General features: G+C 35.6%; 1 annotated feature.

The window, feature by feature from the left end:
• Positions 10,422 to 10,921: an enhancer, noted in NCBI's record as "H3K27ac hESC enhancer chrX:130440821-130441320 (GRCh37/hg19 assembly coordinates)". NCBI's record gives its function as "activates a minimal SCP1, AML or CMV promoter by ChIP-STARR-seq in primed H9 embryonic stem cells {active_cell/tissue: H9 hESC(primed)}" and the evidence as "EXISTENCE:reporter gene assay evidence [ECO:0000049][PMID:30033119]".

The following is a 12,729-nucleotide window of genomic DNA, read 5'->3' as shown; positions in this document are numbered from 1 at the left end:
CAATAACAATTATGCATATCATTAAATATGTGTCAGATTAATTTTGTTGTAAATTTTAATTATAACAGCAAACCCTATGTGTGTATGCTCTGTCTTTATAATTTGTTGCTTAGATTGCTCATAAGTTAGAAATAAATGAGACAGAACATTGGCTAGCAGGCCAAGAGTGGGGAAGGTGCAGAGGCGGCTGCCTGGGGTTGAATATTTACTATGGGTGGCGCACAAAGTGGATAATCAACCAATGCATAAATCCCAGCAGCTTAACTTCCCCGGAGCCCTGCAGGCAGCTCCACAATCTTTTATTCATTTATTGTTGATTCTTTGGTTGTATTCATGCCCACAGCCTGTCCCAAACCTTTTCTGGTCTCCTTGGCCTCTCAACTTGCCTCCTCCGCTCTCAACTCTTACTCAAAGGAAAAGAATAACCTCATCCTGGCTTTTGCACAGCAGGTCTGGCCAATGCCTCCCTAGCTGGCATCTCAAATTTCTTTCATGTTGTAGGCCCCTTCTCCTGTGGGCGCTGGCCTCTGACAAGCAGATATGTCCTTTCCTCTGTGCCCTGGGCTCTTCCCCTCCCACCATCCCAAAGACTGGTTTGATGTCCCAGCATTTCACCATGCGTTCAATTTCTTTCTCTGCTTTTTGCCATGCACGTGGTAGACACTCAGTAAATATTTGTGGAGGTTTCCTTTAGACATACATGAGACACAATGGGACACACACACACACACACACACACACACACACACACACACACTTTCCTTGCTGTTTCTTCAGCTATCACCATTTTCTCTTTATCCTCTAAGTTAACACTATACTTATACATCTTACATATCCAGTTAGACAAGAAATTCATTGCGGGCAAGGGACTTCTATGTTATTTTTTTTTCTGATTTCCTAGCACAGCTTGAAGCACTCCATACATGCTGAAAGATTAGTACTCATGGATCCTCACAGGCTGCTGCTTCTGTAGAGGGAAGGGAACATCTGGCACTTTCTTCCCTAGCTTGCTTTTGTAGAGGCTGAGTAGGATAATAGAAAGCATGGGGCTTTGGTATCAGATAGACTTGAGTTCCACTCCAGGTTCTGCCACTCAGCGACTAAGAGAACTTAGGACTGATTTCATCTTTCTGAGGTCCAATTATCATCCGAAAAATGGGGATAATAATAGAACATATATTACAGGATTGTTGTGAAGATAAAATGACATGCTGATGAAAAGGGCCTGACACACACTGGTAATGATTTTTCTCAGGCAGAAACTTTCTGCTCCAGTGGCTCACTCATACTGAATATTTGTTCCTCCTACTATGGTAATGATGAGTCAGGATTTCAACAACCTAAAGCCTCACTTATTATCCATGTTTATCTTTCATTCTTAACTCTAGATCAGTAGTTCTCATTCCTGTGAGACCTAATACTCCCTCTTAATAACAAATATTTTGTGACTCCCTCTTCACTATCCTTAAATGAAGTACATAGATAGTATAACTTACCTACATACATAATTTCAAAAAAATCAATACAGTGACCTAACTGAAATATAAATGAGGAATGAAAGGAAAGTAATTTACAATAAAATGATATGTATTTCAATATATAAATGCAAGGGCACGACTCCATCAGACAACATAATGAAATACATGATTGCACCAACTTATACTGAATAAGTTCATATTTAAGAAAAGTAAAAGGATTGGGAGGCATCACATAAAAGATGGGAAAACATACAAGGCAGAGAGAGATACAGGAAACAGTAGGATAAAAGCTACTGTTAAGACAAAATTCGATAACTATAAACCGTTTTCTCACATACATTATTAAAGCTCACTGGAATATTTGAAAGCTGTGTAGGAGAACAGCTCTTCATTATATGCGATTATCCCAGACATTCAGGACAGCTAGCATCACTGTTCTCCATCCACTTAATGTCAATAGCACCTCCCAAGCATTGTGACAACCAAAATATACCCCAATGCTTCTGATGGCCTTCTTAGGACTCTGAGACACGATGTAGAGATGCTGATGGTGATAGCAACCAACTACAGCCTTTTCTGTCTTGTTTGCTACTCCAGTCCTACTCCTGCCTCTTGAATATCTGTTTCTAGTTCAGCACTCTCATTGATCCTACCCATTCAGTTTTTAGCCCAAGAAGGCATTTCTTCCTCAAGATAGGTCAACTGGACTGTACACAGCAGTAGTTCTGTAACAACTGAATATTGTCTAATAGCCATAAGGCCTACAGCTACTATTTAAGTTTCTACCACCTTTAAGCCCTCTCCCCACCAGTCACTCCACCACCAAGGCTTTGGCACCCAGCTAGCAAATACATCATGGCTTATCTGTTTTCTTGATTCCATCTTGATCAGCTTTTAAGTGCCACATTTTAATTTTAATCTGTTTTGATGCAAATTTTTCCAAAACATACTCTGCTTTTTAAAAAATCATTCTTTCATACTCCATGGATTGGTTCAATTAAAATGGTTAATTTATAAGTATGTTATTTCCAGTTTTTAAACAAAGATCTTAATAACTTTCACAAAAAAGTTGAAAATAACTTAAAATAAACAACTATAAGTATACAACCTCAATTCTACCATTAACGTTTTACTGCAGTTATTTTATCAATTATTTATCAGTCCAACCATCCTTCTCTCCATCCATGAATCCATTTTGTTTTTTGGTGCATTTCAAAGTGAATTGCAAACATCAATATACTCCTCACTAAATCTTTGAGAATTTGTATAATTAACTAGAGAATTCGTATAATTAACTAGAGAATTCGTATAATTAACTAGAGTTAAATCGTTGCTTATAGATTTTCTTTTGATGTAAAATTTATCTACAATAAAATGCAAAAGCATTAAATCCACATTTGCAGAGTTTAGACAAATGCATATATGTATGTCCTAAATACCTTTCAAAATATAGATTGCTACTATCATCCCAGAGTCCTCTCCTTCCCCAACCCAGTCAATTCTTGCCCCATACCCCCAGAGGCAAACATGTTCTGATTTTTTTCCCACAGTACATCAGTCTTATCTGTTCTGAAACCTCATAATAAGACAGTAAGTATGTTTATATATGAGGTTTCTTTCACAGAAAATAATGTTTTTGAGATTCATCCATAATATTCCAAGTAGTCTTAGTTTGTTCCTTAATATTGTGCATAGTATTCAATTATTTTATGAATATACCAAAATTTGTTTATCTATTCTCATATTAATAGACATTTAGGCTGCTTCCCAGTTTTTGCCATTATGATGAAATCCTCTGTGAATGTTTCTGTGCAACTTTTTATTTTGACATTTTTTTATTTACTAAATATAAAGGCATGTAATTAGTTGGTCATAATTTGGTATTATAAGAAATGCCAGAACGTTTTTCAAAGTTGTTGTGCCATTTTATACTCCCACAGTGTAGGAAAATTTTGATCACTCCACATCCTTGCCCACACTTAGTGTTGACAGTTTTCTTTATTTTCAGTGCTCAGGTGGGTGTGTATTGATATCTTGTTGTGGTTTTAATTTGCTTTTCTCTGATAAAAATGATATTGAATACTTTTTTGTGTGTACTGGCCGTTCATGTATTTGCCTTTGTGAAAATGTCTGTTCACATTTTTCCCCCTTAAAAAGATTAGAGATAAGTTTAGACTTACAGAAGAATTGTAAGAATACTACAGAGAGTTTCAGTCTAATTTCGCCCAGTTTCCCCTACTGTTAACATGTTACATAACCATGATGCTTACATTTACCAAAAATTAACCTTGGCACATGACTCTTTACTAAACTACAGACTTTATTAGGATTCTACCAGTTTTTCCACTAATGGATTTTTTTTTTGTCCCAGTGTCAAATCCAGGATGCCACATTGTTTTTATCATTGCTCCTTAGTCTCCGCCAATCTGTGACTGTCCTCAGTCTTCCTTTTCTTTCACAAATTTGACTCTTTTGAAGAGTATTGGTCAATAATTTTATGGAATCTCCCTTAATTTAACTTTTATGTTTTCTCCAGATTAGACCAGGGTCATATGTTAAGAAGAAGAATATCACAGAGGTGGAAGTGCCCTTCTCAGTATATAATATCAGGAAATAAGATTTTTTACTCGTGATGTTAACCTTGGCCACTTGGTCAAGGTGGTGTTTTATAGGTGTTTTTACTTGAAACTAGTCTTCACAGTAATACATACATACATACGTACATACATATATATGTATATATATATGCTCAGTACATACATAATACATACTCAGTAACAGTTCATAGTCTTTCCATTAGAAGCAAGTCACTAAGTCTAGCCTACAGTTATACAGAGAAGAATTTAACTCCACTTCCTAGAAGAAGTACAAAAGAGTTTATTAACATATCTTTTAAAACCACAGAAATACATAATATTTGGGAGGGAGATGGAAATATCCTATGTCTCCTTAAAATTTCACCTACTAATTTTAGCATTTATTAACAGAGCTTGCCTGCAGATTATTATGTTGCTATTCTAATTATGATTTTCTATTTCTCTCATTTCTCCTACCATTATTAACTGGAATTCTTCTATAAGTGAGAATCATTTTTTATTCCCCCATTCATTTATTCAATTATTTATGTATATCAGTATGGACTCATTTATCCTTTGATTTAAAATACAATACTATCATCATTTAATTTGTCGTTCCAATTTGTTCAGGTTTGACCATTGAGGATTCTTTCAGCTTGGGTACTATAACCTTTTGACATCATCTTATCCTTTTGGTTGTGGTTGTCATTTTTGAGCACTTTCAGCCACTGTAAGTTAATCCATGTCTCTTTTGTATCAGCCCTAAAATCATCCATTTCTCCAAGAAACCCTAACTGCTTTTATTAGAGGATAGTGTTTAGAAACCAAGATCTGGAACTAAGTTTGCTTGTTACTACTGAGGTGTTACTACTTCTATGTGCTAAGAGCTAGGAAATCTATGTATATATATACACTTATCTATACTTTATTTTGTATCTACTTGTGTATATATTAAAACAAACTTGAGTTTACACTGCTATCTCTGACTTTAATCCAATAATACAGGGTTTATTCTATTATTCCTCCAGTAGTAGGCAGAATAATGGTCCTCAAAAGATGTTCACATCCTAATCCCTGAAACCTGTGAATGTGTTACCTTACCTGGCAAAAAGAAATTAAGATTGCAGGTGGAATTGTTTCTAATCAGCTGACCATAAAATATGGAGATTATTCTGGGTTGTCTGGATGGACCCAATGTATCACAAGGGCGTCCTTAATAGTAGATGACGAGGGCCAAACAGGGAGTCAGCTACTATGCAAGAAAGACACAGAGAGATAAAACATTGCTGGCTTTGAAGAGAAAGAAAGGGTGCCATAAGCCAATGAATATGAGCGGTCTCTAAAATCGGGGAAAGGCATGGAAACAGATTATCCCTTAAAGCCGCCAGAATGGAATGCATTGTGCTGACACTTTAATTTTAGCCCATTGAGAACCATGTTGGAATTCTAGCCCTATAGAACTATAAAACAAAATGCATTATTTGAAGCCACTAAGTTTATGTAATTTGTTGTAGCAGCAATAAAAAGCTAATACACTTGAACTGCTTATTTGTTACTTCTTTCTCTGATAGAGGAACTTGGCTCTTACCATTTATAATATACTTGCTTATTTTTTCAACCCTAGTACATGTATAGTGTAGTTTCAGAATTGCTAAATCATGCCAATAAAAGAAATATGTTTATTAACTAGATTACAGTGTTTAGGTCGTTACTTTTGTTTTTATCTTTAAAATAGTACAAGACAAACCAGTTTCCCAAAGTTATTGTCAGCTTCTTCCCTCTCCACCTTCTCCAATTAAGGTATATCATATTTCTAATAGAGTTATATACGTTTGCCATAGTCTTTATTCCATTCTGGGTTCTCCAGTCATCTTGGATGACTTTTTTTTTTTTTTTTTTTTTTTTTTTTTTTGATGGAGTCTTGCTGTCGTTGGCCCAGGCTGGAGTGCAATGGCACAGTCTCGGCTCACTGCAACCTCCGCCTCCTGGATTCAAGCGATTCTCCTGCCTCAGCCTCCCCAGTAGCTGGGATTACAGGCGCCCACCACCACGCCTGGCTAATTTTTGTATCTTTAGTAGAGACAGGGTTTCACCATGTTGGCCAGGCTGGTCTCGAACTCGTTTTTCTCATATCTTTTCATCTTCAGTTAGTTTTTGGTAAGTTCTATTTTGAGGGAATCTGCTGAATTTGTTGGCATAAATTTATTCATAATATCCTCTTTTTAGCTTTCTTTTTACAGTTTTATTGAGATTTAATTTACAAACTATAAAATTCACCCATTGTTTAAGTGTAACAATTCAATTATTTTATTAGATTTAGAGTTATCCTGCCATCTCTACTGTTCAGTTTTAAAGTATTTTCATCTCTCTAAGACGTTTTCTTGTGTTTGTTTAATGTTAATCTTAGCGCTTACCCAAAGCTCTAGACAGCCACTGACCAGCCTTCTGTTTGTAAAAATTTTACCTTTTTATTAAATATTCTAGTTGAATGGAATAATACATCTGCAGCTTTTGTGTCTTGCTTCTTTCATTTAGCATAATGTTATTGAGGTTTATCCCTATTATAGTACATATCAGTGGCTTGTTTTTAAGTTGCCAAAAAGCATTTTCATGTGTGGATAAACTACATTGCTTTTGTCCATTCATCACTTGATAGGCACTTGCCATGTTGCCAGTTTGGAGCTATTATGAACAATGTTATGAACATTGCTGTATATGTCTTTGTCTGAACATATGTTTTTATTTCGCTTGGGTAGATTTTTGTGAGTGGAATTGTTCGGTCACATGATAACTTTACAGTAAACTTTACAGAAACTTCCACACTGTCTTCCACATCTATGCCAACAATTGGTATAGTCTGGGTTTTTTTGATGGTAGACATTCCAGAGGGTGTATACTGGTATTTTATCATGGCTTTAATTTGCATTTCCATGATGATTAATGATATTTAGTATCTTTTTATGTGCTTACTAGCCCTTTGGTTATTTTCTTCAGTGAGTTTTCTATTTAAATCTTTAAGTGGTCAATTGTGTCGTTTGTATTCTTATTACTGAGATATTATAGTTTTCATAAATTCTGGATAAAAAGATTTAGTGGATGTACAATTTGCAAATATTTTCCTCCAGTTCTGGTTTGTTTTTTCATTTTCTTAATAATGGTTTTTGGTGTTCAAATGCCGATTTTAATAAAATGCAAATTCACAAATTATTTTTTCCATGTCTTTGGCGTTGTATCAAAGAAATCATAGCCTTACCCCAAAATAGAAAGATTTTCTCTTATGCTTCATTCTAAAAATGTTGTAGTTTTAGCTCTTAAATTTAGGACTAGCATGCCCTTGAGTTAATTTTTTTGTATGATGTGAGGTAAGTATGTAAGGTTTTTTTTTTCATTTTGTTTGTATTGGGGTATATAATTGTCACAATATCTGTTATTGAAAAATCTACCCTTTTCCTTGTCAAATTGTCTTGGGATCTTTGTTGAAGAGGTATATGTGAGAATTTGTTTCTGAAAATTTAATTTGCTTCCGTTGGTCTAAATGCCTGTCCTTGTGCCAACAACACACTCTCTTGATTACTATGGCTTAGTAGTAAGTTTCGATACTGGGTTATGTAAGTCCCCTGACTTTGTTCTTTTCTTGAAATCGCTTTGAATTTTCTAGGTCCTTTCATTTCCATATAAATTTTACCATCGATTAGACAATATCTATAAAACATTCTATTGCATATGGATATCCAGTTGTCCCAGCATCATTTTTTTTTATTATTATACTTTAAGTTTTAGGGTACATGTGCACAATGTGCAGGTTTGTTACATATGTATACATGTGCCATGTTGGTGTGCTGCACCCATTAACTCGTCATTTAGCATTAGGTATATCTCCTAATGCTATCCCTCCCCACTCCCACCACCCCACAACAGTCCCCAGAGTGTGATGTTCCCCTTCCTGTGTCCATGTGTTCTCATTGTTCACTTCCCACCTATGAGAGAGAACACCCAGCATCATTTGTTGATGAAACTACTCTTTCCCTCATTCAATAGTCTTGGCACACCTGCTGAAAATCAATTGGCCATAAGTGTATGCATATAGTTTTGGAGCCTCAATTCTATTCCATTAATCTATGTATCTGTCCTTAGAATTATGTTATTTTGATTACTATAGCTTTGAAGAGGGTTTTAAAACCAAAAAGTGTGAGCTAACTTTTTTTCTTGTATTTTAAAAGTCTTTAGGCTGTTCAGTATTCCTTGAGATTTTACATCAATTTTAGGATGCATTTTTCATTTTCTGTAAGAAAAAAAAGTCATTGGGATTGTGGTAGGGATTGTGTTGTGTCTGTTGATCACTTTGAATAGTATTTTCATTGTTTTAGTCCATTTTTTGTTACTATGACAGAATACCTGAGGGGGGTTATTATTTTTTTAAAAGAATTTTATTTTGGCTCATGGTTCTGAAGGGTAGGAAGTCTGACATCAAGTGACCATATCTGGTTGGTTTTTGGTGAGGGCATCCTACTGCATCATAACATGACAGAGAACTGAAAGGGGAAGTGGGTGCCTGCAAAAGAAACAAAACACAAGAGACAGCCTCACTTTATAACAATCTGCTCTTGCTGTAACTAATCCAATTCTGTGAGAGCAGGAACTCACTGATCCCTGTGAGAATTAAACCACTCCCATGAGAGCAACCTTACTCCCTCTTTACAAACTAATCACCCCTTAAAGGCTCAACCTTCCAACAACATCACACTGGGGACCAAATTTCCAACACATGAATTCTGGGGGACACACAAAAACCATAGCGGTCATCTTTAAATATTGTTTTCCAATCCATGAACACAGGATGTCTTTCCATGTATTTAAAAGTTTTCTTTAATTTTTTAACAATGTTTTGTAGTTCTCACTGTATAAATCTTGTACTTCTTAGCACAAGACTTTATAAATTACCCAGTTTATTACATCCTTTATAAATTACCCAGTTAAATTTACTTCAAAGTATTTTATTCTTTTTGTTGTATCATAAATAGAAAGTTTCCTTAATTTATTTTTCATAGTGTTCGATGAAAGGATATAGAAATACATCAAATTTTATGTGTTGAACTTGCATGTGTTAATCTTAATTTGTTCATTAGCTCTAATAGCTTTTAGTAGATTTTTAATATTTCCTTTTTATATTTTCTGTATATGAGATTACATTTTCTGTGGCTAGAGATAGTTTTACTTCTTCCTTTCAAATTTGGGTGCTTTTTATGAAGAAATATTTTGAAAGTCGCCAGAGAAAAATGACAATTTACATACAGATGGACAACAATTCAAATGTCCATGGACTTCTAATCAGAAGCTATGGAGACCAGAAGACAGTGGAATGAATGACATCTTAAAGAACTAAAACACAGAAGCAAACACTCATCCAAGAATTCCACATTGAGCAAAAATAGTTCTCAAGAATGAAGGCAAAATAGAAAATATTTCCATCCATCAGTACCGTAATAACATTAGTCACCAGCAGACCTACGCTACAATAACTACTGAGGGAATTTCTTCGGGCAGAGTAGAAATAATACCAGTTAGAAACTCAGATATTTTGGAATAAATGAAGATTATTGAAAAGGGTAGAGATCTTAGCAAATACAAAAAACTTTTTTCTCTTAATTAAAAAAATAAAGGGGACTTCCACTTTCACCCCTAACATGTAAGGAGCTTGAAAGTTGCCATTCGCATCCTTACAATGAAAAAATGCTGGACAGTAAATAGAAAACTGATGACTTTTCTTAGCCTCAGAGAATTGAGATGGCAGAACAACCCAACATCTCAAAAGCTGGAGAGATAGGCGCATTCATATCTGCTTATCTAATGAAGACCTGCTGGAAACCATAAACAGTATGACTATTTAATTAATTCTCTAGTAATTATGAAAAATTACTGGAGATTAAATGTGAACTAGTGTGAGAGTGAGAAGTTTATGAGGGGGAAAATCATAGAGGGGCTCTCCACACTTTTGTGGGCTTTTCCTCCAGGAATTGCACAATATTCTCATAATGAGAATTAGGAAAATCCTTTCAGTGGCTCTGACAGGAGGAGGGGAGAAAAAGAACAAAATATACAATAACTATAAGATAATATCAAAGGAGGTAAAAAATCTAGTTAGAATCCCAGAAAGAGAAGAAAGAGAAAAGATAGCATAAGACATTTTTGAAGCATTAAATGACCAAGAACATCACAAATTAGTGACAGATACCAAACTACAAATCCAGTAAGTTCAGAGAACACCAAGAAAGATAAGTACCGAACACACACACACACACACCCCTGGGCATTTTGATTCAGACTGCAAAAATCAAATGCAAAGAGAAAATCTTGAGTGAAGACAAAGTGCAGGGAGGCAAAACACCTTATCTATAGATGAAGAAAATGTAAGGCTTATAGTAGACTTGTCAGAATCCATACAAGTGAGAAGAGAGTGAAGTGAAATCTTCATACTGTTTAAAGAAATTTCTACCAATATATAATTTTATATCCAGTGAAATTGTCCTTCAAAGGTGAAGCAAGGTAGTCAGTGATCTTTTGGGTGTGATTTCAGGATCCCAAACTGGCTTTCATATGACCAATAATAGGGTCCCATATTACTGCAGATGCCAAAAGTCAAAGCACGATAAGTATGAGTAAAGTAATTTTCACTTTTTACTGTTTGTAGACAATGTCCATCTTTCAATTAAATAGCCAGACTTCCATTAAACTCTGGTAACATGTCAAGCCCTGTGCTAAGCTGGTGCTCTGTATTCATTTGCTCAGGCTGCCATAACTAAATACCACAGACTAGATGGCTTAAACAACAGGAATTTGTTTTCTCACAATTCTGGAGGCTAGAAGTCTAAGATCAAGGTGCTGGCATGGTCAGTTTCTGGCAAGGGCTCTCTTCCTGGCTTGCAGACAGCTGCCTTTTCACTATTATGTTGCAGGGTGAGAGAGTGTGTCTCTTCGTATAAGAATGCAAATCTTACTGGATCAGGACCCCACCCTTATGACCTCATTTAACCTTAATTACCTCCCATAATGGCCCTATCTCAAAATACAGTCACATTGGGGGTTTCAACCTATGAATTTTAGTGAGACAAAAATTTTCACTCCATAGCAAGCTCCAAGATAAATATAAGAATCATTGTTACATAAAATCTTCATGTACCCAACAGAAAAAGGCAAATGAACCTCAGTGAGGAGAGATGTAATCTATTAATTTTCACTTTAAAATTTGATAAAATAAATGGGAAGAGAGGGAACTTAAACTGCACTTTGAGATTTTTACTTGATTCCCACAGATCATAGCTTAGCAGCAGTGTATGTAAAAGACAGTTTGAAGTTAACACTCATTCAATAGGTATCCACAATTAGCCATAGATAAAAAAGCTGCTATCTGTTTAGATTATATTTACAGGAGAAAAATTTCCAAAATGAGGGAGGCAATAACCCTGCTGCTCTCTGTCCTTTCAAGATGACACCTGGAATACAGTACTTTGCTCATTTCTGGGGCCAGAATACATGAAAGTTATGAATAAACTGCCACATACCCGGATGTGTGACCAGGGGGGGTAAGGAATGCAAAACCATACCATATAAGGAATAGCTGAAGAAACTGGTAAGAGCTGACCTAAAGAACGGAAAACTAAAAGGTTTATAAGCTCTGCATTGAAACATATGAATAATACATAAATGAAACTTTCATTTTGGAGACATAATTAGGTTAATTATAAACAAGAACACTCAGTCAGAGCTATCTGAAGATGGAATGGGTTGAGTTTGAACATAATGAGTTCTCTTTCATTAATGGTATATAAGTACCAGCTAGATGACCACAGGCAAGGATATTATAGAAGGAATTGTGGTAACAACTGGGGGTTGGACTAGTAAACCTTGCAGAATTCTTCCAACTTGAAGATTCTCAAAGGGTATGATTCTTAAGATCACCAGAGGATTGTCTCTTTTACAAAATAATCTATCAACAGTTCTTATTTAAATATTAAGTAACTCTGTTGGATTTAATATGAAATTGTTTTCTAATTGGGTAAACTGAGGCACTTCTTAAACCTTCCCTGCTATGTTTCTTTGGTTTTTGTACTGAAACTCTTCTTTATCGCTAACCATTTTCAGTAGTGGGTATGACACAAGCCCACCTGCACATCACATTTTATTGCCCCGTGACAGGGCTCAATTGATTAGTAAGTGTTTTTGACAACTCATTCTATGCTTAGCACTGGATAGGGCCTGTGAGGTGATAGAAGTCTCAGACAGAAACCCTGTCCCCAAGGATTTCCATTCTCCTTCAGGAGTCTGTACAAACACAAAGGCTCAAGGGAACGGCCCAGGCTCTAGGATTTCCCATAGGGGAGGTTGATGTGAACAAGAGTGGTCAAGGGTAAAAAACATGAGCTGATACGTCCAAGAGTGAATTTGTATTTATCATCTGCTTCTCTTTCTTGTGTCCCCAACTTAGCGAATGGTACCACTATGCATCAAGTTTCCAAACAGAAACTTGAGAGTCATCCTTGATACCACCTTATTTCTTCTACTGAAACTATCAAATCTATGGATAGATAATGCCAATTTTACTCCCATCTCTTAAATATATATTTTCTATTACACCTGCCACCACTGTAGTCAATGTTGCTTAGAAAAATGCCTCATCT

The sequence above is a fragment of the Homo sapiens genome, chromosome X, assembly GCF_000001405.40.
Source record: "Homo sapiens chromosome X, GRCh38.p14 Primary Assembly".
Classification (NCBI taxonomy): Eukaryota; Metazoa; Chordata; class Mammalia; order Primates; family Hominidae; genus Homo; species Homo sapiens.
Note: the sequence above shows the minus strand (reverse complement) of the source record. Positions and strands in the feature narration are given on the sequence as shown.